This window comes from Homo sapiens, chromosome 22, assembly GCF_000001405.40.
Source record: "Homo sapiens chromosome 22, GRCh38.p14 Primary Assembly".
Lineage (NCBI taxonomy): Eukaryota > Metazoa > Chordata > Mammalia > Primates > Hominidae > Homo > Homo sapiens.
The window spans coordinates 23723981-23751840 of NC_000022.11; the positions used below are offsets into that span (position 1 = coordinate 23723981).

Genomic DNA, 27860 nt, shown 5'->3' on the forward strand with positions numbered 1-27860 from the left:
TTACACACCTCAGTTGAATTCTTTCCTGAGGAGGCAAAAATTGAGGTCACTGCAAACCCACACAGATTCACTGCCTGGAACACTGATACCTTCCACCGATATCAAAGCTGCCTCATATTTTATTCCTAAATAAGATAGCAACAAAGATTTTTTTAAAAAGCTACATATGCCAGGTGCAGTGGCTCACGCCTGTGATCCCAGCACTTTGAGAGGCTAAGGTGCGCGGATCACTTGAAGTCAGAAGTTCGAGACCAGGCTGGCCAACCTGGTAAGACCCCGTCTCTACCACAAAAACAAAAATTAGCCAGACATGGTGGTGTGTGCCTGTAATCCCAGCTACTAGGGAGGCTGAGAAAGGAGAATCGCTTGAACCTGGGAGGTGGAGGTTGCAGTGAGCCAAAATCGTGCCAGGTTTTGTAATGTGTTTCCCGTCTTTATAACATTAGGGTCTGATGGACTTAGACGTCCCAGTTCCCAGGATTGGGGTAAGCAGAATACTTTCTTTTCTTTTTTTAATTATCTTTTTTTTGGCTGGGTGTAGTGGCTCATGCCTGAAATCTTACTTTGGGAGGCTGAGGTGGGCGGACTGCTTGACCTAAGGAGTTTGAAACCAGTCTAGGCAACATAGCAAAACCCCATCTCTACAAAAAATACAAAAATTAGCCAGGCATGATGGCACATACCTGTAGTCCCAGCTGCTCAGTGGGCTGACGTGGGAGGATCGCTTGAGCATGAGAGGTTGAGGCTGCAGTGAGCTGTCATCGCACCATTGCACTCCAGCCTGGGGGACAGAGCAAGACCCTGTCTCAAAAAAAAAAAAAAAAATGTGGGTAGTAGAGGAGAAATAATGTTTGAAGGCTGGGTGTGGTGGCTCATGCCTGTAATCCCAGCATTTTGGGAGGCTGAGGTGGGAGGATCACCTGAGGTCAGGAGTTCAAGACCAGCCTGGCCAACATGGCGAAACCCCAGCTCTACTAAAAACACAGAAAATTAGCCAGGCATGGTGGCACGCACCTGTAATCCCAGCTACTTGGGAGGCTGAGGCAGGGAAATCGCTTGAACCCCAGAGGCCGAGGTGGCAGTGAACTGAGATTGCACCACTGCACTCTAGCCTGGATGACCGAGCAAGACTCTGTCTCAAAAAAAAAAAAAAAAAAAAGGAAGAAAAGAAAAGAAAAAGAGAAAAAAGAAATAATGTTGGATATGTATGGACCCAGAAGCTAATGTGTGTAAAGTATTTCCAGTCATCAGAGAAGTACAATTGTAAGCGTATAATTCCATTCTTGTTGATACCTAGTCATAATATCTCATCAATCCTAACAGAATGGCCTCAATCATTTGGTATATGCAATCTCACACGTAGAGTTTTGTTTTGTTTTGTTTTGTTTGCTTGTTTTAGAGACAGGGATGTGCTCTGGCACCCAGGCTGGAGTGCAGTGGCACAATCATAGCTCACCGCAGCTGCCAACTCCTGGGCTCAAGCAACCCTCCTGCCACAGCCTCCTGAGAAGCTGGACACAGGCATGGGCTACCACACCCGGGTAACTTTTTTAACATAGAGTTTGCATTTTTATGAGAATTTTGTGCAGTAGAAGTTATTACAATTTTTGTGTTTGTAGGGTACAAACCTGTACCAGTACTATAAACAATAATAATATCTTTTCATGAAGTCACAGCCCAATGTGTCAGTTCACATTTTTTTTTTTTTTTTTGAGACGGAGTCCCACTTTATCTCCCAGGCTGGAGTGCAATGGTGCAATCTCGGCTTACTGCAACCTCCGCCTCCTGGATTCAAGCGATTCTCCTGTCTCAGCCTCCCAAGTAGCTGGGATTACAGGCACACGACACCACACATGGCTGATTTTTGTATTTTTAGTAGAGACTGTGTTTCACCATGTTGGCCAGGCTGGTCTCGAACTCCTGACCTCCAGTGATCTGCCTGCCTCAGCCTCCCAAAGTGCTGGGATTACAGGCATAAGCCACTGTGCCCAGCCTTCAGTTCACATCTTAGCACACCAGGAAGGCTATGTGGTTCTACAGCAAATAGACTAAAGAAATGCTTCAGTAATAAAACTCCCACATATATTCATCAATATATCAATGTGTGTTGAGAAAGAATAATTTGACTACATAATTATGTAGTTTAGTACCAAGTAGCGGCTTTTTGAGACAGGGTCTCACTCTGCTGCCCAGGCTGGAGTGCAATGGTACCATCATAGCTCACTGCAGCCTTGACCTCCCGGGCTCAAGTGACTCTCCTGCAGCAGCCACCTGAGCAGCTGGGACCACAAGTGCACACCATCATGCCTAGCTAATTTTTCTATTTTAAGTAGAGACGGGGTTTCACCATGTTGGCCAGGCTGGTCTTGAACTCCTGACCTCAAGTGATCCACCCGCTTCAGCCTCCCAAAGTGCTGGGATTTCAGGCGTGGGCCACTGCACCCGACCTATTTTTGTTATTATTATTATTATTATTATTTTTTGGAGACAGGGTCTCATTCTGTTTCCCAGGCTGGAGTACAGTGGCACCATCACGTCTCCCTGCAGCCTCGACCTTCTAGGCTCAAGTGATCCTCCCATCTCAGCCTCCCAGGTAGCTGGGACCACAAGCGTGTACCACCATGCTCTGCTCATTTTTAAAATTTTTGGTGACATTTTGGAGTCTCACTATGTTGTTCAGGCTGGTCTCAAACTCTTTGGCTCAAATGATACTCCCACCTCGGCCCCCCAAAGTGCTGGGATTAAAGGCTTGAACCACCATGCCCGGTCTCCTGGTGCACTTGAAATATAATTTAGACTCCTCACAATGGCCAACAAGGCTTTGTATGACCCAGCCCCTGCTGTATGACCCAGCCCTTACTCTCATTCACTGTTTTCCAAACATTCAAGCCACTTTCTGTTCCTCAAAAGCCCATTCCTGCCTTAGAGACTTCACACCCGTAGCTCTTACAATTTCTGCTTCTTTATCATTGAAGCCTCAGCTCAAATGTCACATCCTCAGTAAGCTCCCATCTGCCCACTTTTTAAATTATGGTAACTAACCATGGAAGTTCAGCAAATATTTCTTTCTCCCTCTTTTTAGACACGAAGTGGAATTGCATGTCTTTGACTTTGTCATGTGAGGGGTGACCATGTGACTTTTTTGGTCCATAAAATGTAAAGAGCAATTTTTTCTTTTTTTGAGAGACAGGGAGTGTCTCACTCTGTCACCCAGGCTGGAGTGCAGTGGCACGGTCTCAGCTCACTGCAACCTCTGCCTCCCAGGCTCAAGTAATCCTCCCAACTCAGCCTCCCAAATAGCTAAGATTACAGGCGAATGACACTGCGCTGGGGTAATTTTTTGTATTTTTTGTAGATACGGGTTTTTGCCATGTTGGCCAGGCTGCTCTCGAGCTCCTGAGCTCAAGTGATCTGCCCGCCTTGGCCTCCCAATGTGCCTGGATTACAGATGTGAGCCACCACACCCAGCCTTAAACAGCAAAAAAAAAAAAAAAAAAAAAAAAAAAAAAAAAAATTTGAGGCGGAATCTCACTCTGTCACCCAGGCTGGAGTGCAATAGCGTGATCTTGGCTCACTGCAACCTCTGCCTCCCAGGTTCAAGCAATTCTCCTGCCTCAGTCTCCTGAGTAGCTGGGACTACAGGCATGTGCCACCACATCCAGCTAATTTTTTTATTTTTAGCAGAGATGGGGTTTCACCACATTGGCCAAGCTGATCTTGAATTCCTGACCTCAGGTGATCCACCCACCTCGGCCTCTCAAAGTGCTGAGACTACAGAAGTGAGCCACCACGTCCAGCAGGCAGCAACATTTTTAAGAGCCAATGCCTGATTTTCTGCATCATCCCTTTTTCCTGTCTTGGTGATCACAGAAGCACGTGTCGAAATTGAGCACCTCTCAGTCAGGATCCCTGAGCAACTTATGGAAATCAAAGCCCCCTTTCCAACCAGTGATGGATGTGTAGGATGAATGAGAAATAAACCTTTATTGAGTCAAAAGACTGAGGTTTTGGAGTTGTTACTGCAGCTTAATTAGCCTGTCCTGACTGATACACTATGTGCCAGACCCTCATCTGGGGTCTCTACCCACATTATCTCATCTACTTCTCACAACATCCGAATAAAGTAGCTTGTCCGCTTATAAAGGAATAGCTGAGGCTGAGGCTGGGTCATTTGTCTTTTTTGTCCAAAAGAGACTTGTTTGGCTCATGGTTCTGCAGGCTGTACTAGAAGCATGGCCCCAGCATCTGTTTCTGCTGCAGGATTGGAAGCTTCCACTCATGGCAGAGGCAAAGGAGAGCTGTGTGCAGATCACATGGCAAAGGAGGAAGCGAGAGAGCAGAGGTGCCAAGCTCTTCCAACAACCAGTTCTTACAGTAACTAAGAGTGACAATTGGCCAAGTGTGGTGGCTCACATCTGTAATCCCAGCACTTTGGGAGGCCGAGGCTGGGGGATCACTTGAGGTCAGGAGTTCGAGATCAGCCTGGCCAACATGGCAAAACTCCATCTCTACTAAAAATACAAAAATCAGCCAGGCATGGTGGCAGGTGCCTGTAATCCCAGCTACTTGGGAGACTGAGGCAGAATTGCTTGAACCCAGGAGGTGGAGGTTGCAGTGAGCTGAGATCGCACCACTGCACTCCAGCCTGGGCCACAGAGCCAGACTCTGTCTCAAAAAATTTTGAAAAAGCTGGGCGCAGTGGCTCGTGCCTGTAATTTCAGCACTTTGGAAGGCTGAGGCAAATGGATCGCCTGAGGTCAGGAGTTCAAGACCAGGCTGATCAACATGGTGAAACCCTGTCTCTACTAAAAATACAAAAATTAGCTGGGCCTGGTGGCGGGTGCCTGTAATTCCAGCTACTCGGGCGGCTGAGGCAGGAGAATCGCTTGAACCCCAGAGGTGGAGGTTGTGGTGAGCTGAGATCACACCATTGCAGTCCAGCCTGTGCAACAAGAGCGAAACTTCGTCTCAAAAAAAAAAAAAAAAAAAAGAAAAGAAAAAGAAAGAAAGAAAGCATTTTGTAGTCAGGCTCTCACTATGTTGCCTAGGCTGGCCTTGAACTGTTGGCCTCAAGCAATCCTCCCAGCTCACCCTCCCAAAGTGTTGAGATTATAGGCATGAGCCACCATGCCCGGCCTCAAAGACTTTCAAATTTATGTTTGAAGAAGGAACTGACGGAGTCATGGGTTTTATTATATACTCATATATTGCAAGAAAAGAGAACTGCCAATTTTCATACTCTGGGTATATATGAATGAAATGTATAGTTTTTATTTTTTTTTACTTCATTTTATTTTATTTTATTTTTGAGATGGAGACTCGCTCTGTCACCAAGGCTGAAGTGCAATGGTGCCATCTCGGCTCACTGCAACCTCTGCCTCCTGGGTTGAAGCGATTCTCCTGCCTCAGACTCCTGAGTAGCTGGGACTACAGGCGCCCGCCATCACACCTGGCTAATTTTTTGTATTTTTGGTGGAGACAGGGTTTCACTGTGTTAGCCTGGGTGGTCTCGATCTCCAGACCTCATGATCCGCCCTCCTCGGCCTCCCAAAGTTCTGGGATTACAGGTGTGAGCCACTGTGCCCAGTCAGATTTTTTTAATAGAAATGGGGTGTTGCTACATTGACCAGGCTTGTCTCAAACTCCTGGCCTCAAGTGATCCTCCCGTCTCTGCCTCTCAAAGTGCTAGGATGACAGGTGTGAGCCACCGTGCTCGGCCCATATGTAAATAAATACAAGTGTTTATATCTTTATGTGTACAGAGATGTCATTTGATATTTTAATTGTTACTTTAATATTCTAATAGCAATATCATGACAACAATTATCAAACACAACATCCAATTAGAATAACAGGCATTTCTGATCTCCCACCTCAGCTACCTTTTGTGCGGTTTTTGAGGTTAAAGGTTTTTGGTTTCGGGGTTTTTTTTTTTGCAAGACCTAAAAATAATGTCTGAATTCTGAGTGTCTTCAAAGACCCCTTCCCTTTGTACAAATACTGCCAGGGACAGTTGTTTTATTACTTAAAATAAATGTTATTGAAGTATAGTTTACATACAATACAATGCACTTATTTTAAATGTATAGGTTTTTTTTGAGACAGGGTCTCACTTTAACTGTACAGTTTGATGAGGCTTAGCAAATAGATATATCTGAATACCCACTGCCACTATCAAGATATAGAACTTTCTGCTGGGTGCAGTGGCTCATGCCTGTAATCCCAACTTTGGGAGGCTGAATCGGGAGGATTGCTTGAGGCCAGGACTTTCAGGACAGCCTGGGCAACGTAGGAGCTACCTGGCTACAGTTTTTTTAAAAAATTAGCCAGGCATGGTGGCATGCACCTGTGGTCCCAGCTTCTCAGGAGGCTGAGGCAGGAGGATCACTTGAGCCAGGAGTTGGAGGCAGCAGTGAGCTATGACCACAATACTGCACTTCAGCCTGGGTGACAGGGCAAGATGCTGTCACAAAAAAAAAAAAAAAAAAAAAAATTAAAGCCGGGTGTGATGGCTCACACTTGTATTCCCAACACTTTGAGAAGCCAAGGTGGAAGCATTGTTTGACCCCAGGAGTTCCAGACCAGCCTGGGCAATATAGTGCTATATCATCTCTACAAAGAATATTTAAACATTTAGCCAAGCGTGTTGGCAAAGGCCTGTGGTCCCAGCTACTTGGGAGGCTGAGGTGGAAGGATCACCTAGGCCCAGGTCAGGAAGGCTGTTGTGAATTGAGGCAGCGCCACTGCACTCCAGCCTGAGCAACACAATGAGACCCTGTCTCAAAATAAAAACAAAAACAAATCAACAAAAAAGAACTTTCCCTAGGCCAGTGTGGTGGCTCATACCTGTAATCCCAGCACTTTGGGAGGCCAAGGCAGGCTGATCACCTGAGGTCAGGAGCTCAAGACCAGCCTGGACTACATGGTGAAACCCTGTCTCTACTAAAAATATAAAAATCAGTTGGGTGTCGTGGTGCATGCCTGCAATCCCAGCTACTCAGAGGCTGAGGCAGGAGAATTGCTTGAACCTGGGAGGCAGAGGTTGCAGTGAGCCGAGATCGAGCCACTGCACCCCAGCCTGGGTGATAAAGTGAGATCCTGTCTCAAAAAAAAAAAAAAAAAAAAAAAAAGAACTTTCTCATTACTCCAGGGAGTTCCCTCTGACCCCTCCCAGTCAATCCACCTTCCAGCCCTGACCCAGGCAACCACTGATCTGCTCTGTGTCACTATGGATTAGATTTGGTGTTTCCAGAATTTTATATCAATAGAAGTATACGGGGCGCTCTTTTAGATCTGGCTTCTTCCACACAGCATGTTTTTGAGATTCATCCATTTTCTGCATGTTTTAGTATCTTGTTCCCAAGTATCACTTTTAGCAACAGAAAACAGAACAAATTTCATGAGTATATCAATTACACACCTTATTCAGGCAAGATTCTTTGAATCAATTTTATGACATGAAATGGTGTCTACCACTTTGCAGCTGCTGAAAAGAGACACATCCTCTTTCTTTCTTTCTTTCTTTCTTTTTTTTTGGAGACGGAGTTTCACTCTTGTTGCCCAGGCTAGAGTGCAATGGGACGATCTCGGCTCACCACAACCTCCACCTCCTGGATTCCCGGATTCAAGCGATTCTCCTGCCACAGCCTCCTGAGTAGCTGGGATTACAGGCGTGTGCCACCACGCCCAGATAATTTTTGCATTTTTAGTAGAGACAGGGTTTCACCATGTTGACAGGCTGGTCTCGAACTCCTGACCTCAGATGATCCACACGCCTCAGCCTCCCAAAGTGCTGGGATTACAGGTGAGAGCCACTGCGCCTTGGCTCTCTTTCTTGTCTCCCTGAAATTGCTTTTCTCTCACAACATTCTCAAGCTCGATATCAGTTTTCCATAAGCTGCAAAAAAAAAAAAAAAAAAAATTAAGGCCAAGGAGCTCAAAACCTAACATATGAAAAGGGAAAAGGCAAGATGGGAATTTTAAACAGGAGGAATGAGGGGCACATAATGTGTTTCTCGGTTCCACCTGATATAAATTCTTATCTGTAGCCTGAGAGCAGCATAGCAAGATCCCATCTCTACAAAAAAATACAAAAACTAGCCAGGAGTGCTGGTGCACACCTGTGGTCCCAGCTACTTAAGAGGTTGAGGCACAAGGATCTTGAGCCCAGATTGAGGCTGCGTAAGCTGAGATCACACCACTGCACTCCAGCCTGGGTGACAGAGTGAGACCCTGTCTCTAAATAAATAAATTAGCATGTGTTCCACTCACCTTCTCACATCTCCCTGATTAATCTTTGAAATTTGGCATAATCTGAAATTACCACTGAGCAGATATGGTGGCTCACGCCTGTAATCCCAGCACTTTGGGAGGCCAAGTCTGGAGGATCACTTGAGCCTAGGAGTTTGAGAGAAGCCTGGGCAACAGAGTGGGGCCCCATCTATAATAAAAATGTCGTTAAAGGTCAGGCGCAGTGGCTTATGCCTGTAATCCCAACATTTTGGGAGGCCAAGGCGGGCGGATCACGAGGTCAGGAGATCGAGACCATCCTGGGCAACATGGTGAAACCCTGTCCCTACAGGCGTGGTGCACGCCTGTAATCCCAGCTACTGGGGAGGCTGAGGCGGGGAATTTCTTGAACCCAGGAGGCAGAGGTTGCAGTAAGCTGAGATCGCACCACTGCACTCCAGCCTGGCAACAGAGTGAGACTGTGTCTCAAAAAAAAAAAAAAAAAAGTTGTTAAAATCAGCCGGGTGGCATGTGCACATAGTCCCAGCCACCTTGGAGGCTGAGGTAGGAGGATCGTTTGACCCCAGGTGTTTGAGGCTGCAGAGAGCTATGATCGCACCGCTTCACTCCAGCCTGGGCACCAGAGTGAGACTCTCTCTCAAAATAAAAAGAAAAAAGAAACAAATTACTTTGTTTATTTCTCTGAATGCCTGTGGTCTGCAATTCTGCAGCCTTTGCCTCCCAAGTAGCTGGGACTATAGGCGTGCACCACCATGCCCAGCTAATTTTTGTATTTTCAGTAGAGACAAGGTTTCGCCATGTTGGCCAGTCTGGTCCCGAACTCCTGGGCTCAAGCAATCCTCCCACCTCAGCCTCCCAAAGTGCTGGGATTACAGGTGTGAGCAACTGGCGCCCAGCCAATACCTGAAGTTCCAGCTCATCCATATTAACTGCTGGAGTATGTTCCATGGTGTGGATTCACCACTATCCTTTTCCTGTTGAGCATTTAGGCTGTTTTCATTTTTCACTTGTTCAATCAATGCTGCCATGTACACTCCAGCAGTACACTGCAGTAGTGGCTTGTGTGAGATTTCTCCAGGTGTGTCCTAGGGTTGGAGCTGCTGGGTTGCAGGGTCTGTTCATCTCCAAGGAGGTTGTCCACACCAGGGCTTTTACCGCCAGCTGCCTCACAATAGAGAAGCATCCAGTCACCAGGGCCTCCCTTGGCCCCATGCAGGTCCGGGTGTCCACCCCAATCAACAGTTTTGCTTATTTCTGGTCCACAAAAAGGTTTCAGTTATTTTGATCTTGGCTAGACCTTTTGGGGGTCTTTTTTTTTTCCTTGAGATGTAGTTTTGCTCTTGTTGCCCAGGCTGGAGTGCAATGGTGCAACCTTGGCTCACTGCAACCTCCACATCCCGGGTTCAAGTGATTCCCTTGCCTCAGCCTCCCAAGTAGCTGGTATTACAGAGGCCCGCCACCACACTTGGCTAATTTTTTTGTATTTTTAGTAGAGACGGGGTCTCACAACGTTGGTCAGGCTGGTCTCAAACTCCTGACCTCAGGTGATCCACCCACCTTGGCCTCCCAAAGTGCTGGGATTACAGGCATGAGTCAGCGTGCTCAGCCTATTATTACTGTAATAATATTTGTCATGCTGATCTATGACCGGTGATCCTTGATGTTACTATTGTATCAGTGCAAAAGTAATTGTGGGTTTTGTCATTAAAAGTAATGGCACTAGGCTGGGCCCTGCTCAGTAGCTTATTTGGTAAGCCGGTGGGTCCTGAAAGTTTGCTTTTTTTTTTTTTTTTTTTTTGGATATGAAGTCTCATTGTCACTAGGCTGGAGTGCAGTGGTGCGATCTCGGCTCACTGCAACCTCCGTCTCCCGGGTTCAAGCAATTCTTCTGCCTCAGCCTCCTGAGTAGCTGGGACTACAGGTGTGTGCCACCACGCCCAGCTAATTTTTTTGTATTTTTATTAGAGATGGGGTTTCTCCATGTTGGTCAGGCTGGTCTCGAACTCCCGACCTCAGGTGATCCGCCTGCCTCGGCGTCGCAAAGTGCTAGGATTACAGGTGTCAGCCACCACGACCAGCCGAAAGTTTGCATTTCTAGCAAGTTCCTGGGCAATAATTATGATGGCCAAGAATGACAGTCTGAGAACGACTGCTCTGGAAGATTTTATCTGTGACCCAGAGCTTTGACCCTTTTGGGGATTTGGTGTGTCATGTCCTTACTGCTGGAGTTTGCTTTAGTTAACAAAATCTGTCATTGCTCCCAAATCACTTGGTAGGGGTTATTCATTCTTCCTTGAGTTGAGCTTCTTTATCTTTGCTGTTAATAAAATGTAAGTTTCAAACATTTCTTTTTTCTTTTAGGGACAGGGTCTTGCTCTGTTACCCAGGCTGGAGTGCAGTGGTGCCATCACAGCTCACTGCAGCCTCCCACTGCTGGGTGTGGTGGTGGGCGCCTGTAGTCGTAGCTACACAGGAGGCTGAGGCAGGAGAATCGCTTGAACCTGGGAGGCGGAGGTTGCAGTGAGCCGAGATCGTGCCACTGCACTCCAGCCTGGGCGACAGAGTGAGACTCTGTCTCAAAAAAAAAAAAAAAAGAAAGAAAGGAAGGAAGCAAGGAAGGAAACAGAAAAGAAATGAAGCCTGACTTCAAGAAGTTCCAACATAGCATGGAGGAGGAGTGCAGGGAGCACGAGGGCGTGTGGGGGGGCGTCTCTGTTGGGAACTCAGGGAAGATGTTCTTGATCTGATTAATTATTCAACCAAAATGACAGGCTGGATTCTAGGCACTGGGAGTACCCTGAAGGGGCTTCTAGTAAACCTGTCCTCTGCATTGGGTCTTGGAAGATAGGGGGAATTTGCCCAAGGAAGAAGGGGAAAAGAACATTGCAGGCAGAGGGAGAAGTCTGGACAAAAAGGGTGACTGGCCTGCTTGAAGAACAGGAAGTCATCCAAGTGGCTATAACTATAACAAAAGGTAGGGAGGAGACGTGGAAAGAGTTTGGGGGAAGGCTGTGAAGAGCTTTGAATGTCAAGAGAGGGAGTTTGATCTTGGTCCTTTAGGTCATAGGGAGCCCCAGTCAATTTTAAAATCAGAAGAGCCAAATTTATTTTATTTTATTTTTATTTATTTATTTATTTTTAGACGGAGTTTCGCTCTTGTTGCCCAGGCTGGAGTGCAATGGCATGGTCCGGGCTCACTGCAACCTCTGCCTCCCAGGTTCAAGCGATTCTCCTGCCTCAGTCTCCCAAGTAGCTGGGATTACAGGCATGCGCCACCACGCCCAGCTAATTTTGTATTTTTAGTAAAGATGGGGTTTCTCAATGTTGGTCAGGCTGGTCTCAAACTCCTGACCTCAGGTGATCCACCCCCCTCGGCCTCCTAAAGTGCTGGGATTACAGGTGTGAGCCACTGCTCCCGGCCAAAACCCCATCTTAAAAAAGAAAGAAAGGAAGGAAGGAAGATAAATCTAGCTATAGTATTGAGCTATATGGGATGGAACAGAGGGAGAAAAAGAGACCAATGGCTGGAATGTGTTGTGGTTTGACGATTTCTAGCCCTGGCTCAACTTAAGAATGGAATTACTTGGAGTTCCCAGAATGGATCCAACTGTTTCAAGCCTTCCTAAATGCTCTTCCCTGTGCCTGGGATGCCCTTCCCTCAGTGTCGGTCTTGCTACCTCCCATTCATTCATCAGTATTCTAGCCAAACATCATCAATGTCAGGTAGGCTCCCAGTTGATCCAGGTGTCCAACTCTGGGCTCCCATGTGATCCTGAGTAGTACGGGCATTTAGCGATCTTTTCCTGATTTGGGAGCACTGTAGTAGTGCCTTCTGGGCCTTCTCCACCACCCAAGTGGTAAGCTCCTTGCAAGCAAAGCTTCGTCTGACACATTTTAGTGTCCTGACTCCAAGCCCTCTCCTGTCTTCCCCCACAGAAGCCCTAGAACTGGGCTGCAGCTGACCACTGGGAAGACAGGAAAGACTGTGAGACCAACTGTATGCCATGTGGTCCTGAAAAATGCGAAAATGGAGTGGCAAGTCCTGAGAGCCACCAGCTAGTGTCTGAGGCCTGGCATCCCTTTCTGGGAGGCCTCGTGTGAAAGCCAGTGGCATTCTGCAGATGTGAGGTCGTACTTCTGAATACGCAGCAAAATCCTGGGGCCAAATGCTTTGACAGATGAATTGAGGCTAGAAAGAGAGTTGGAGAAGTGGTTTGACAGCAGGGCTGTAACCACAATACCTAACATGGGTAAGTCACCAGGTGGCAGGCTCTGAGCTAAAATTCATCTCATTGCATCTTCATGACAGTACTGTTTATACATAAAGAAACAGAAGCTGGCCGGGCATGGTGGCTCACGCCTGTAATCCCAGCACTTTGGGAGGCCGAGGCGGGTGGATCACCTGAGGTAGGGAGTTTGAGACCAGCCTGACCAACACGGAGAAACCCCGTCTCTAATAAAAATACAAAATAAGCTGGGCATGGTGGCGCATGCCTATAACCCCAGCTACTTGGGAGGCTGAGGCAAGAGAATCGCTTGAACCCGGGAGGCAGAGGTTGTGGTGAGCCGAGATCTTGCCATTGTACTCCAGCCTGGGCAACAAGAGCAAAACTCTGTCTCCAAAAAAACAAAAGAAAAAAAGAAAAAAAAAAAAAACAGAAGCTGCAAAGGGTTAGGGGTTAGAGGACATGCACACAGGCACCCAGGTAGAAGGGGACACTCAGTCTGGCTGCCCAGATGACAGAAGAGAGATTGTCAGTCCAGGTTTCTTTGCAGCAAACAGCAAGCTTGCAAGCTTGGTATGTGCGGAGGCCACGCTGTAGGTATGGGGAAGAGAACTCAGGAAGAGGAGAAAGACAGGAAAGCAGCATAAAGGCTTGCAAAAAAATTAAAAACAAATAAAAAGCAGATGAGTCAAAAGAGTCTGCAGCTGAGTCCCTGACAGTCGACACTGAAATGGACATAAGCCTTTATCCTGAGGAAGCATCCTTGGCATTAAAGACTCATAGGAGGCCCAGGCGCAGTGGCTCATGTCTGTAATCCCAGCACTTTGGGAGGCTGAGGCTGGTGGATCACCTGAGGTCAGGAGATAGAGACCGGCCTGGCGAACATGGGGAAACCATGCCTCTACTAAAAATACAAAATTAGCAGGGCATGGTGGCGCATGCCTGTTATCCCAGCTGTTATCCCAGCTACTTGGGAGGCCGAGGCAAGAGAATCGCTTGAACCTGGGAGGTGGAGGTTGCAGTGAGCTGAGATCACGCCACTGCACTCTAGCCTGGCAACAGAGTGAGACTCCGTCCCCCAAAAAAAAAAAAAAAAAATTAGCCAGGTGCAATGGCGCGTGCCTGTAATCTCAGCTACTTTGGAGGCTGAGGCAGGAGAATCGCTTGATCCTGGTTGCAGTGAGCCGAGATCGCACCACTGCACTCCAGCCTGGGCTACAGAGCAAGACTTCATCTCAAAAAAAAAAAAAAAGAAAGAAAGAAATACTTCAAAACACTAATAGTGTAATAATCAACTGCACCTGATAGTTTGCTAAGCATGTTTGCATTCCTTATACCACTGAGGCCCCCAAGGCTGTGAGTGTCATCATTCCCCCATGTTATAGCTTAGGACCCTGAAGTCAGAGGCTGTAACTTGAGGAATGGGCTCAGGGCAGATCTTGGCACTGAACCCAAATGTGACAAGAAGAGAGACAGGTGGGCCCAATGGCAGACCTCTAGTCTATCCAGAAATGACACTCCACATATGGTTAATAACTCCTAGAGATGGGAGTGAGGGGTGAGCATGGCTTTTTGAGGTTAAATTAGTTAATATATATTAAAATATTAAAATGAAAATAAATTATGCCTTGCTCAATAGTATTAATGATAGAACTTCTCGTACAAAAATAAATTACAGAAAGAACCAGAAAACAAACTCTAACAATTTGTTGTTTATGTAGATGTATAGCAAAATATATACACAAATTTAAAAAACAAAATGCTGAGCTAAACTCTACCAGGCAAATTCAAGAAAAGCAGGGGGCTTCAATTATAATATTTGGAAAAGACAAGTTTAAGCTAGAAATATTAAAAGAGGCAAAGAGGGTACTTAGCATAGTTTTTCTTTTTCTTTTTTTTTTTTTTTTTTTGAGATGGAGTCTTGCTCTGTCACCCAGGCTGGAGTGCAGTGGCACAATCTCTGCTCATTGCAACCTCCACCTCCCGGGTTCAAGTGATTCTTCTGCCCCAGCCTCCCAAGTAGCTGGGATTACAGGCACAAACCACCATGCCCAGCTAATTTTTTGTATTTTTAGTAGAGATGGGGTTTCACTATTATGGCCAAGCTCGTTTCAAACTCCTGACCTCAAGTGATCCGCCCACCTTGGCCTCCCAAAGTGCTAGGATTACAGGCATGAGCCACTGTGCCTGGCCGAGTTTTTCAATATATCACTATTAAATATATATGCCCCAAACATGATACTTATTTATTGATAATTCATACCCTGCCTATTTCTCAAAAATGACTTGAGAAAAACTGCACAACATAGCGACAATACACATACAGAAATTAAAAGTGAAACAGGAATACATAGAGATATAACACACAAACATCAAACTATGATTAGATCAGGTAAATGAGTGTTCTGAACTGCTTTGGTGTCACAGAGGCATTTAAAAATATAGTAAATACTACAGATCCTTGTCCCAGCAAAATTCCTTCAAGCACATACCCAGCTTTGTTCGATCCCTAGGGGTCTGCAACTCCTAAACCCCTACATGCTAAAGACTCCTAGGCAGGCCATGGACCCCCAGATTAAGAACTCTAAAGTAAATGAAAGTCAGAGAAAATATGGATTTGAATAAAATAATGAAAAAATTGAGTTAACAAATAGAACTGGTAGAATAAAAACACATTTTGAGATTACACAAATGCTTTTATAAAAACTGATAATATATTCAGGCCCAAAGAAGTCCTATGGACACTTAGAAATGTTGACACCACAGTACAGTAAGAAATAAGCAGCAATACCCTAAGCATTCATCACTTAGAAATTTTTTTTATATATATTTTTTTTGAGACAGAGTCTAGCTCTTTTGCCCAGGCTGGAGTGCAGTGGCACCACCTCGGCTCACTGCAAGCTCTGCCTCCCGGGTTCACACCATTCTCCTGCCTCAGCCTCCCAAGTAGCTGGGACTACAGGCGCACAGCTGCCTGTAGCCACCACGCACGGCTAATTTTTTGTATTTTTAATAGAGACAGGGTTTCATCGTGTTAGCCAGGATGGTTTCGATCTCCTGACCTCATGATCTGCCCGTCTTGGCCTCCCAAAGTGCTGGGATTACAGGCTTGAGCCACCGCTCCCGGCTATTTTTTGTTTTTGTTGTTGTTGTTTTCCCCGAGATGGAGTCTTGCCCTGTCACCCAGGCTGAAGGGTAGTGGCACAATCTTGGCTCACTGCAACCTCCGCCTCCCGGGTTCAAGCGATTCTCCTGCCTCAGCCTCCCGTGTAGCTGGGATTACAGGCACCCGCCACCATGCCCAGTTAATTTTTGTATTTTTAGTAGAGACGGGTTTTCACCATGTTGGCCAGGCTGGTCTTAAACTCCTGACCTCGTGATCCACCCACCTCGGCCTTCCAAAGTGCTGGGATTACAGGTGTGAGTCACCATGCCCGGCCCACTTAGAAATATTTTTAAATAATAACATTTGGGCAAAAGGAAATTCTTAATACTATAACAAAAAACACCACGTCAAAACTTACGGAGTGCAGACAAAGCTGTCACTCTAAGGAGAAGAAGAAATAAAAAAATGCCGAGCGCGGTGGCTCACACCTGTAATCCCAGCACTTTGGGAGGCCGAGGCGGGCGGATCACGAGCTCAGGAGATAGATACCATCTTGGCTAACACGGTGAAACCCCGTCTCTATTAAAAATACAAAAAATTAGCCGGGCGTGGTGGCGGGTGCCTGTAGTCCCAGCTACTTGGGAGGCTGAGGCAGGAGAATGGTCTGAACCTGGGAGGTAGAGCTTGCAGTAAGCCGAGATCGCCCCACTGCACTACAGCCTGGGTGACAAAGCAAGACTCCATCTCAAAAAAAGAAAAAAGAAAAAAGAAAAAAAAAGGTAGGACAACAAAAACAAAGAACAACTAAATTAAAAGATAATTGATTAAAATATTGCCAGGGATGATCTTTTATAACTTTACACTGTTTGAGAATCTAAATAGAATGAGAGAGTTTAAAAAAAAAAATCTAATAAGCTGGCTGGGCACATGGCTCACGCCTGTAATCCCAACACTTCAGGAGGCCAAGGCAGGCAGATCAGGAGGTCAGGAGTTCGAGACCAGCCTGGCCAACATGGTGAAACCCCATCTCTACTAAAAATACAAAAGTTAGCCAGGCGTGGTGGCACATGCCTGTAATCCCAGCTACTCAGGAGGCTGAGGCAGGAGAATCACTTGAACCCGGGAGGCAGAGGTTGCAGCAAGCCAAGATCGCACCACTGCACTCCAGCCTGGGTGACAGTGAGACTCTGTCTCAAAAAAAAAAAAAAAAAAAAAAAAACTAATAAAACAAGGAAAGAATTTGAACAGAGGGAATGAGGCTCTGGTCATACTTCCAAAAAAGAACCTGGTCTTACCATGTTTATCTGTTAACCCTTGGGAGAGAGGGGGGATCTTCATCTCCACGTTACACAAAAATTAGAAAGAGAGAGGGAGGGAGAGGAGGAGAAAGTGCACATTTCAAAATGCAAGAACAGCACAGAATTATGAGCTGGGAGTGATGCTGGAGTGGGCAGGGGCGGCCTGATCTCCATGCGGCTTGCTCAGAGTGGGTAAACCAGGTTGGCTGAAACGAGGGTTTACGTGCAGGAAAGCTCCTGAAAGTTGGTTTTAAGGAGAGTGGTGACTTGTGCAAAATGATGCTTTAAAAATCAATTTGGCTGGGGTGTGCAGGAAGGATGGGGAGGGAGAAACCAAAGATAGGTAACAGACATTTGCCAGATGATAACGGTGGGGAAGAGGGGCAGGTGTAAAGAGGAGGTAGATCTTTCAGGGACCCCTGCTTGATGCCGCCTGCTGTCCCCACTGCATCCTAGCATTCTCTCTTCACTCTTGATAGAGACAGGCCTGAAATGACAGGCCACTTGCAGGCAATGCCCAGGGCACCATCCAGTCAGTCCAACTGGTTACACAGAGGGTTCTGGTGGACAATGGAGTGCTGGTTAAATGTTAAATGTTTCACATACGTAGCAAAGACAGGGGCTGGACAGAGGCATGGCTGGAACTCCCACCATGACCTCTCCAGCCCATCATATCTGTCATTTGGAAATCTCTGGCCTATCAAGACCCACTTAGTAACAGTTATGGCTTTCCCATGTTTATTCATCAAAACTAGGCATAATGGCCATGCTGAGCTTCTGATCAGCTGAAATACCCAGTGTTACCATGATGAGTTCATGTTAGCCCAGCCATAAATGTTTAGGAAACTTCAAAACAGCCTAGACTGCCTCCTTCCCCACTAGCTCTGAGGAGCCCAAGGGAAGCCAGGACTAAAGAGATCCCCAAGGCCCCAGCCAAACACTTTCCAAGCGCCCAGCTGACCATCAGCCTGAGCCCATCCCTGAGGCTCCGGGTGCGGGGAGCAGGGAGTGAGGGCACTGAGACAGAATGGCCTTCAAGCTCTGCTCAGCCAAAGCCAGCAGGCTGACATTGGAAGCTGTCGAGGGATGCACAAAAACCCAGCATGGGCCAGGTGTGGAGGCTCATGCCTGTAATCCCGGCACTTTGGGAGGTCAAGGCGGGCAGATCACGAGGTCAAGAGATCGAGACCATCCTGGCCAACATGGTGAAACCCCGTCTGTACTAAAAATACAAAAAATTAGCCAGGCATGGTGGCACGCACCTGTAGTCCCAGCTACTCAGGAGGCTGAAGCAGGGGAATCGCTTGAACCCAGGAGGCAGAGCTTGCAGTAAGCCAAGATCACGCCACTGCATTCCAGCCTGGCAACAGGGCAACACTCCATCTCAAAAAAAAAAGCCCAGCACAGGGCCCACAGCCTGGCTGCACACTAGGAAGTTATAATCACCTGGGGAGCTTTAAAACATGCCACCACTGGGGCTGACTGAACTGGTCCAGGTGGGACACAAGCAATGGTACTGTTTAAACAAGCCCCACGTGAACTCCTAGTTGGCAGGCGGGGAAGACAGACAGAATGTGGAAGTGCAGAATGACACTGCTGCTACAGGAGGCTCAGGATGGCATCCTAGAGGAAGTGTCCTTGTGTGGGACACTGCATCCGCAGGCATACACAGCCCAGGCTGCAAGGGGTGGAGGGAGAGAAAGCCCTGTTCAATGAGAGGTCCCACTGCTCAGAAACCAGACGGGAACATCTCTCCAGTCCGTGGAAATGCACAGGGGTGGGGCAGGGGTCACTCTGGGTCTCTGTCCTCAGTCACCATGACTGCTCACAGTTGCCAAAGCACTTTCACAGTGGCTGTGTTCTGAATGACAGCCTGGCACCAACCCTTAGAGGCACGTGGCCAGTTCCCATTACCCCAACTCTTGGATGGGGGAATGGAGCCTGGGGAAGTTACAGGACTTGTTCAAGCTCACCCAGGTAGGAGGGGGTGGAACTAGGACTTGAACCCAGACCTTCTGATTAGAACACAGCCTCCTCCAACAAGCCACCCAGCTTCCCAGGTCCCCTGACACTGGGGCAGGAGGGCTGCATCATTGCCAGAACAGACCAGACCCAGGCCCTGCTGATGTCCAAGGCACACTGTGGTCTTGGGGACACTATGTCTCAGGGAGGGGTTATTCCTGGAGGGCAGTCATGTCCGGTGTCCAGGCTGAGTCACGGCTGGGTGTCAAACATCCTCTGGCCAACAGGATCAAATCTCTATCCTCCTGTAACAGAGCTGTCTGAGGGAAACTGCCCTAGGGCTAAGGAGAGGGTTAAGAGGCCACGCCCAGGGGCTCACCACCCTCATCCCCAATCTCAAGACCCACCCTCCAGACCTGCCTTTGCTCTGCAGACCTGTTTTGGTTGTCCCCACCAATGCCCAACGCAGTGAGAAAATTCTACTTTGCTGCTGACACATCTACTTTTGAATTCATTTTTCTTCTACTGCTTTGGACTGTGAGTGTGGTTTCTGTCTTCTAAAAGTGCCAGACTGCAGCCTGTTTTAAAGAGTTCTTCTGATATTTTCCTGGGTTTAATTCAACTTTCTCCCTCTTGGCATTTATTCTTCTAGATTCTGGGAAATGTGAAGACAGGGCAAAATGAAATCCTGTAGGCTTGGGAGTCAAATGCAAGAAGGAGAAACTGAAGGCCAGCTGTCTTTTCTGGCTGCCCTCCCTATCACCCCACCTTCCCTTCCATGCAGAAAACCTGCTGAGAGCTGGCGTGCTTGGCCCAGGGCCACACAGGGCCTTCCTGCTAGTGGGATGTTCAAGAGCGCTTAGGTGGGAAGGTTTCCATTCAGCATCAGGGAGGTAGGTGGGGTCTTGGAGACCACGCGACGTGGAATAAAGGCTCCATCTGGCACAGGCTTTCAAGCTTTGTGTGGGCTCCTCTTTCTATAGCTTCTCCCCAGAATGAATCTTCTGATGGCGAATCAGGTGCGAGCTCCCCCGGAAGGACTTGCCGCACAGATTGCACACGTAGGGCTTCTCTCTGGTGTGGGTTTTATAGTGCTCAATGAGGGCTGACCGGTGCCGGAAGGCTTTGCCACACTCGCAGGTGTAGGGCTTCTTGCCGGTGTGGATTCTCTGGTGCTGGATCAGCGCAGAGCTGTGGCAAAAGGCCTTGCCACACTGACAGCACTCGTAGGGCTTCTCACCGGTGTGGATGCGCTGGTGCTCAATGAGGGAGGAGCTCTGGCTGAAGGCTTTCCCACACTTCTGGCATTTGTAGGGCTTCTCGCCAGTGTGGGTCTTGCGGTGCTCAATGAGGTTGGAGCTCTGGCTGAAGGCCTTCCCGCACTCATCGCATTTGTATGGTTTCTTCCCAGTGTGGATCCGCTGGTGTCGGATGAGGTGTGACCTGTGACAAAAGGCTTTCCCACAGAGATCGCACTCGTGAGGTTTCTTTAGGGTGTGGATCTTCCGATGCTGGCTCAGGCCTGAGCTCTGGTTGAAGGATTTCCCACATTCCTTACACTGATAAGGTCTCTCTCCTGTATGAATTCTCTCGTGTTTTCTGAGGCTGGAGCTCCGGCTGAAATCTTTCCCGCATTCCCTGCACTCGTAGGGCCTCTTTCCGGTGTGGATCTTTTGGTGTTGCGTGAGGGCTGAGCTCTGGCGGAAGGCCTTCCCACACTCCCGGCACTCGTAGGGCTTCTCCCCGGTGTGGATGATCTGGTGCCTGAGCAGGTGGGAGCTCTGGCTGAAGGCCTTCCCGCACTCACAGCACTCATAGGGCTTCTCCCCAGTGTGGATCACCAGGTGTCGGAGCAGGTGCGAGCTCTGGCTGAAGGCCTTCCCACACTCTCGACACGCATAGGGCTTGGCTGGTTGTGGGGTTCTGTGAGGTGCGTTAGGTCCTGAGTCCCCTCTGTCTGTTTCTGCACAATCGCATGGACTGGGCTCTTCACTGTGGATTATCTGACACATGCTGAGGTCGGATTTCTGGAGGAAGGTTTGTCCGAAGAGCTCATCATCCTGGGGTCTGGTTCCTGGGGGGATACTTTGATGCTGAACAGGGCTTGAGCACAAACTGAAATTCCCCTCGTAATCATCATTTTCTTCGTCCTGCTCACCAAGAGGGATCTCCTTGTAGATCACAGCCATTTGCTCCAAACCTCTTTCCTGAAGAAAAGGGTCCCCCAGGTCCTCCCCTGGGAAAAGCCCTTGTTGTGACTCTAACCTGTTCTCAAATGCAAAGGTCTCACCAAACTTTGTTGCTGGGGGAACCTCCATTGTGAATCTGCTATCATCCCCAATGGTTGTATTTCTTTAAAAATGTTCTTCTTTGGGCCACACTTACTGTTCTCACAATCTGAAAAGAAAACAGGGAACTCTGTCAAGTCAGCAAGTCAAGCAGCTCATATGTGCCTGCTTCATATCCTAGAATCTATGGTAGAAACAAGAAAATACGCATAAGACACAATCTTGCCCTTAAGATGATCCCAAATGAGTTAGAGGCAAGTTTTGCTTACCAGAGACAATTGAAGGCAGACAGACAGACACAATCAAGTGCCACATCATGGTGTCTAGACTCAACGGGCTGAAGGTGTTCAGAAAGGTGAGCTAAAACAGGAAGTGGGGGCTGGGTGCGGTGGCTCACACCTATAATCCTAGCACTTTGGGAGGCCGAGGCAGGCAGATCACTTGAGGTCAGGAGTTCAAAACCAGCCTGGTCACATGGTGAAACCCGGTCTCCACTAAAAATACAAAACAATTAGCTGGGTGTGGTGGTGGGTGCCTGTAATCCCAGCTACTAGGGAGGCTGAGGCAGGAGACTCGCTTGAACCTGGGAGGCAGAGATTGCAGTGAGCGGAGATCAGCCCACTGCACTCCAACGTGGGCAACAAAGCGAGACTCTATCTCAAACAACAACAACAACAACAGCAACAACAACCAGGAAGTGGGGCCATTGCAGAAAAGGAGCAAGACTCCAGCTACTGGGTGACATTGGGGGCAGGTTTTGCTGGGAAAGAGAAAGAGAGCTCTTCCCTCTACCCTCCAGTCGCACTCCCTCCAGCCAGGTGCCCCAACCTGGGAGTCAGCATAACCGCTCTTATTCTCACCCGACCGGTCCCCTCTTATCTACTTCCTGAGGCTGCATGGGCAGCGTCTCTGTCTCTCAGTCCTCACTGCCACTCTGCAGCTCAGGCTTCAGAGCTACCTCCTGGGATCTTTTCAGGGCTGGCCTCCAAACTAGCTGCTGACCTCCGGCTTCCTCCTCTCCCTCTGGTGCATGCCCTACACTAACAATGGAGTCAAATATCCAAAACATAAGCCTGATTATGGTGGTTCCCTTTTTTTTTTTTTTTTTTTTTTTGAGATGGAGTTTCACTCTTTCACCCAGGCTGGAGTGCAGTGGCACGATCTTGGATCACTGCAACCTCTGCCTTCCAACTTCAAGTGATTCTCCTGCCTTGGCCTCCCGAGTAGCTGGGATTACAAGCGCCCACCACCATTCTTGGCTAATTTTTGTATTTTTAGTAGAGACCGGGATTCACCATGTTGGCCAGGCTGGTCTCAAACTTCTGATCTCAAGTGATCTGCCTGCCTTGGCCTCCCAAAGTGCTGGGATTACAGGCGTGAGCCACCATGCCTGGCCTGGTGGTTCCCTTCTTAGGATCTTGTGACAGCCCAACTCCTTCACACCTGGCCCTTCCAATCCATCTCCTGTCTGTCTGCCCCATACACCTCTTCTTTTTTATTTGAGATAGGCTCTTGCCCGTTGCCCAGGCTGGAGTATAGTGGTGTGATCTTGGCTCACTGCAACCTCTGCCTCCCAGGCTCAAGTGATCCTCCCACCTCAGCCTCCTGGGACTGCAAGTGTATGCCACCACACTCTGCTAATTTTTTTAATTCTTTCTTTTTGTAGAGATGAGGTCACACTGTATTGCCCAGGCTGGTCCCCCCAACACTTCTAATTTTCCAGCTCAATGACTAATTTGCACTGCTGTTGTCTGGTCCTAACAGGTAAGGACCATTCTCAGACTGCCACTTGCTCATCCTTCAGGACTCGTCCAAATGTCCCTTTTTCTCTGCACCCTCAGGTTCTTGACCATCTCAGGCCCCCATCGTTAGCTTGAAAATTCCCTAAGGGCAAATACTGTGCTCCTTCATTTCAGAATCCCCAGCCCCCAGCACAAAAGCACAATCCCAATGTACACAGTTGTTGAATAAATTATCAAATGGAGGAAAAGCCATTTGTTTTTCTAGAACTGTCACTTTTTTTGGTCAAAGAACACTTTAGTCAAATAAGTCAACTGTCTAGGACAGGGGTCCCCAACCCCCAGAGTGGGGGACAGGCACCAGTCTGTGGCCTGTTAGGAACCAGGCCGCATAGCAGGAGGTGAGCGGAAGGTGAGCGAGCATTACAGCCTGAACTCTGCCTCCTGTCAGATGAGCAGTGGCATTAGATTCTCATAGGAACTGGAACCCTATCGTAAACTGTGCATACGAGGGATTTGGTTGTGCACTCTTTATGAGAATCTAACACCTGATGATCTGAGGTGGAACAGTTTCATCTCAAAACCATCCCCCATGTCCCCCACCCATTCATGGAAAAATTGTCTTCTGCAAAACTGGTCCCTGATGCCAAAAAGGTTGGGGATCACTGGTCTAGGAGACATAAATAAATAAAACAGACAAGTCCGGGCGCGGTGGCTCACACCTGTAATCCCAGCACTTTGGGAAGCCGAGGTGGGCAGATCACGAGGTCACGAGATCGAGACCATCCTGGCTAACACGGTGAAACCCCATCTCTACTAGAAATACAAAAAAATTAGCCAGGCGTGGTGGCAGGTGCCTGTAGTCCCAGCTACTCGGGAGGCTGAGGCAGGAGAATGGCGTGAACTCAGGAGGCAGAGCTTGCGAGATCATGCCACTGCACACCAGCCTGGGCAACAGAGTGAGACTCCGTCTCAAAAAATAAATAAATAAATAAAAATAAAAATAAAATAAAACAGACAAAAGCAGAGCTGCTCCAGTTGAAGGAGGGCGCGTTAGCAGGGACAAGGAAGGAAGCTAGAACAGCCCACTCAGCACTCCCCCTCCCAGATGTGGCCCCTGAGGAAGCCCCAAAGAGCCCTATTCAGAAACTTCTGTGCTAGATAAAGGCAAAGTCTTCAGGTGACACAATAATGATAGCAACAGCTCATATTCACTGAGCACCTACTCTGTGCTAGGCACTAATAGGTCCTTCAAGGCACCTCATTTAATCTTCACAACTCTATACAAAGGCACAATTATCCTTATACTGCATCTAGAGAGTAACTGCCTCAGAAAAAAAAAAAAAACTAAATTAATCAGAACAGTCATAACAGAACTCATTTCTACTTGGAAAAAAAAATTTTTTTTGAGACAGGGTCTCACTCTGTCACCCAGGCTGGAGTGCAGGAGTAGAATCACAGCTCACTGCAGCCTTGACCTCCCCGGCTCAACTGATCCTCCAACCTCAGCCTCTCAAGTAGCTGGGACTACAGGGGCATATCAACACATCCAGCTAATTTTTTAATTTTTCTGTAGAGATGAGATAATATTATGTTGCCCAGGCTGGTCTTGAACTCCTGGGCTCAAGCAGTCCTCCCACCTCTGCCTCCCAAAGTGCTGGATTACAGGCATGAGCCACCATGCCCAGCAGAAATGATTTTTTTTTTTTTTTGAGGTGGAGTCTCACTCTTGTTGCCCAGCCAGGAGTGCAATGGCCCAATCTCGGCTCACTGCAACCTCTGCCTCCTGGGTTCAAGCAATTCTCCTGCCTCACCCTCCTGAATAGCTGGGATTACAGGCACCCGCCACCAGGCCCGGATAATTTTTGTATTTTTAGTAGAGATGGGGTTTCACTATGTTGGCCAGGCTGGTCTCGAACTCCTGACCTCAGGTGATCCGCCCACCTTGGCATCCCAAAGTGCTGGGATTACAGGTGTGAGCCACCACGCCCAGCCCAGAAATGATTTTTTTAAATGATTTTTCAGCCAATAGACCGACTGGATATAAAAAAAAAAGAGCACTGAACTAAAGTATTTTCTTTTTCCAGAATGGAGTGCAGTAGTGTGATTACAGCTCACTGGAACCTCTGGCTCCTGGGTTCAAGTGATTCTCCTATCTCAGCCTCTTAAGTAGCTAGGACACCATCCTGGCTAACACGGTGAAACCCTGTCTCTATTAAAAATACAAAAAAGGCCGGACGCGGTGGCTCACGCCTCTAATCCCAGCACTTTGGGAGGCCGAGGTGGGTGGATCATGAGGTCAGGAGTTCAAGACCAGCCTGGCCAAGATGGTGAAACCCCGTCTCTACTAAAATTACAAAAATTACAGCGCGTCTGTAATCCCAGCTACTCCGGGAGGCTGAGGCAGGAGAATCGCTTGAACCTGGGGGGCGGAGGTTGCAGTGAGCCGAGATCGCGCCACTGCACTCTAGCCTGGGTAACAGAGCGAGACTCCATCTCAAAAAAAAAAAAAAAAAAAAAAAAAAAAAAAAAGCCGGCCGTGGTGGCAGGTGCCTGTAGTCCCAGCTACTTGGGAGGCTGAGGCAGGAGAATGGCGTGAACCCAGGAGGCGGAGCTTGCAGTGAGCCGAGATCGCGCCACTGCACTCCAGGCTGGGCGACAGGACGAGACTCCGTCTCAAAAAAAAAAAAAAAAAAAAAAAAAAAGTAGCTGGGAATACAGGCTCTACAGGCACGTGCCACACCTGGCTAATTTTTGTATTTTTTGTAGAGATGGGTTTTCGCCATGTTGTGCAGACTGGTCTCGAATTTCTGAGCTCATGCGATCCACCCATTTTGGCCTCCGAAAGTGCTGGTATTATAGGCGTGAGCCCCCTCGCCCAGCCCTAAAGTATTTTCAAAAATTCTTTGATCACTTCAACTCCTCTCACCCTCCCCCTCCTCTTCAGCAACCCATAATCTCCAACTCTTCCAGCTCTCTCACTCAATTTGTGCTTTTCGACCTCATGAAATCCAAGCCATTTTTACTGTAGTTCTCCTTTTCTAGCTCCACCCCTTCTCCATCCAGCTTAGACTCTCCATACTATGCGCATCACTTCAACTCTCACGCTCTAGCACCATGCTCCTCACCTCCTCGTCCGGCTGCAACTAGCCGCTAAGTCCCAGTCTTCTCGGCCAGTTCCTCCTAAGTTGTTAAATGTTGCCAAGAAAAATCATACAACTATGTATGGCACCACGACAAATTTCGAGTTTCCGATTTCAGCTGGGACCTCAGCTCTGGCATTCTATGACCTCCTTATTGCCAATCCCTCTCTTCTCGGTCTTCACCTTCCCACCCCATCTGGCACTGCTCTCCAATACCTCCTTCTCAAAACCCTTCATTTCAGAGGTTGCAAATTGGCAGCCTGAAGATCCTGCTATGTTATGTTTGGCTCTCGAAGAGTTTGGCTTTTCCTGTTCATTTTCCTTAGTTACCAATATTTAAAACTCAGTAGGTTTCTGGCTTTCTCTTGAAAAACGAAGATGTGACAATATCCCTTCACCCGCCCACATTGCCTACCTAGGTGCATGAAAGCTTTGAGCTACCCCCCAACCCCATCCCCACCCTCGCTTTCTTCCCAATTTTCATGGCTTCCAAGTTCTCTTTCTTGATATCTTTAGATTGCAACTCTTCCTCCGCCCACCCATTAAGTCCTGGTGTTCTCAAACTTCCCTCCGTAGAGGTTTTCCATTCCCACTATATAGCCCCTACACCCTGAAGTCTCCACTCAGAAAAAAGTTGGCAACCCTTTATCTGTCTCCCACAACATGATAAGTGTTTTTGGACCGAAAATGCAAAGATCTGGAACTCCATGCTTCCCACCTCTGTCGGGGCCTTCTCCGGGTCCTCCTGCATCTGTCATCCCATCCTCCAGAGAGTCCCTAGGGCCTGGGCACCCTGCAAACTCTTAGTGCAGTCAAGGTTTCCTGGCTGGGGGCCCAAGAGTTGCCACGGACCCGCACACGCTGCCCAGGCGGCGACGTGGCGCCCCTACAGGCTTCCCCGCGATTGGGGACACGCACACCCAGGGCCACCGGAGGGACAGGTGGTCAGGCGGACTCAGGTCACACCGGCGGACGCGGGGCCACTCACCTGGGCCGGGGCGGGGCAGCTCACCTGGGCCGGGGCGGGGCCGCAGGCGGGCGGGGCGGGGCCGCACCTGAGCTGCTCCAACCCGCGGCCGACGCGGCCGACGCTGCCTGGCTCCACAGCAGCTGCTGACGCGGAGCCCGCGGCCGCCCGAGCACCCAGAGCCCCGCCCCCGGCCCGCGGGCACTTCCGGGACCACTCTAGGCCGCGCGGAGGTCCCGGCGTCTCGGTGGTCCCACCGCGCCGGTTGTCGCCGCGCGAAGCCGCCCGGGCCCCGGGACACAAGGACCCGAATCAGGAGAGTCTCTCCAGTCGGCATGGTGGCTCTGGCCGTCCCCGAAGCGCGTGCTGGACGTGGGGGAAACAGAGATGGGCAGGCGTTGGCAGGAGAGCAGAGGAGGAAACAGGTCCGGACGGGCGGGCCGACCTCGAGCCGCCGGCACTCGGGGCATCTGCGCTGGTGCTGGGTGCAAGCCAGAAGCCACTGAGGCAGCTGGGGTCTTCAGGGAAAGGAGAGTGGAGCCCCAGAGCTGTCGACCCTGTCACTGTCCACAGGCACCGGGGTCCTGTTAGGATCCCCCTCCCCCAACCTGCTTCAAGGGTAGCCCTGTTCCTGTCTGCCCTCCCCGCCCCCACAGAAATAGAGATGAGAAGGGGCAGGCGAAGAACTAGGAGTGTCTGCGAGACCATCCCAGGACCCTGAGCCCCCCAACTCTCTGCATCCCAGGGCTGACTTCGACATGAAGCGCCTCCTCTCAGGCGCACCGGGAGGGAAGAGGAATGTGTTCTTGAAATGGCCGCCCCCTTGGCCGGGCGCGGTGGCTCACGCCTTTAATCCCAGCATTTTGGGAGGCGGAGGCGGG

At 48.7% G+C, this 27860-nt stretch overlaps 1 protein-coding gene and 1 long non-coding RNA gene across 6 annotated transcripts, besides 6 other annotated features; both read right to left on the bottom strand.

Moving 5' to 3' along the window:
* Positions 1 to 5749: 5749 nt before the first annotated feature.
* Positions 5750 to 9622, bottom strand: LOC124905088 (uncharacterized). The gene is made up of 2 exons (XR_007068020.1): positions 9154 to 9622; positions 5750 to 7897 (listed from the first exon to the last, which is right to left on the bottom strand). It is a non-coding gene; the product is annotated as an uncharacterized LOC124905088 (long non-coding RNA).
* A 5079-nt stretch (positions 9623 to 14701) lies between these two features.
* On the bottom strand, positions 14702 to 27132 carry ZNF70 (zinc finger protein 70). Of its 5 annotated transcripts, none has more exons than XM_047441490.1 (2): positions 27068 to 27132; positions 14702 to 21239 (listed from the first exon to the last, which is right to left on the bottom strand). In XM_047441490.1, exon 2 carries the CDS (start codon positions 21158 to 21160, stop codon positions 19820 to 19822), a length of 1341 nt encoding a protein of 446 aa, XP_047297446.1. In that variant the 5' UTR covers positions 21161 to 21239; positions 27068 to 27132; the 3' UTR covers positions 14702 to 19819. The 5 variants fall into 5 exon arrangements, with proteins under 5 accessions (XP_047297446.1, XP_024308039.1, XP_024308038.1 ...); XM_024452271.2 differs by having other exon boundaries at positions 27025 to 27132; XM_024452270.2 differs by having other exon boundaries at positions 27001 to 27132.
* Positions 21349 to 21849: an enhancer, noted in NCBI's record as "H3K27ac hESC enhancer chr22:24087516-24088016 (GRCh37/hg19 assembly coordinates)". NCBI's record gives its function as "activates a minimal SCP1, AML or CMV promoter by ChIP-STARR-seq in primed H9 embryonic stem cells {active_cell/tissue: H9 hESC(primed)}" and the evidence as "EXISTENCE:reporter gene assay evidence [ECO:0000049][PMID:30033119]".
* Positions 21850 to 22350: an enhancer, noted in NCBI's record as "H3K27ac hESC enhancer chr22:24088017-24088517 (GRCh37/hg19 assembly coordinates)". NCBI's record gives its function as "activates a minimal SCP1, AML or CMV promoter by ChIP-STARR-seq in primed H9 embryonic stem cells {active_cell/tissue: H9 hESC(primed)}" and the evidence as "EXISTENCE:reporter gene assay evidence [ECO:0000049][PMID:30033119]".
* Positions 26848 to 27297: a silencer, noted in NCBI's record as "silent region_13541". NCBI's record gives its function as "represses an Ori minimal core promoter by ATAC-STARR-seq in GM12878 lymphoblastoid cells {active_cell/tissue: GM12878}" and the evidence as "EXISTENCE:reporter gene assay evidence [ECO:0000049][PMID:35858748]".
* Positions 26848 to 27565: a biological region, named in NCBI's record as "H3K27ac hESC enhancer GRCh37_chr22:24093057-24093732".
* Positions 26890 to 27565: an enhancer, noted in NCBI's record as "H3K27ac hESC enhancer chr22:24093057-24093732 (GRCh37/hg19 assembly coordinates)". NCBI's record gives its function as "activates a minimal SCP1, AML or CMV promoter by ChIP-STARR-seq in naive H9 embryonic stem cells {active_cell/tissue: H9 hESC(naive)}" and the evidence as "EXISTENCE:reporter gene assay evidence [ECO:0000049][PMID:30033119]".
* Positions 27448 to 27507: an enhancer, noted in NCBI's record as "active region_18758". NCBI's record gives its function as "activates an Ori minimal core promoter by ATAC-STARR-seq in GM12878 lymphoblastoid cells {active_cell/tissue: GM12878}" and the evidence as "EXISTENCE:reporter gene assay evidence [ECO:0000049][PMID:35858748]".

Bases quoted from the DNA above. Each gene is read 5' to 3' on its own strand.
- ZNF70 (XM_047441490.1), bottom strand. From the start codon at position 21,160: ATGGAGGTTCCCCCAGCAACAAAGTTTGGTGAGACCTTTGCATTTGAG.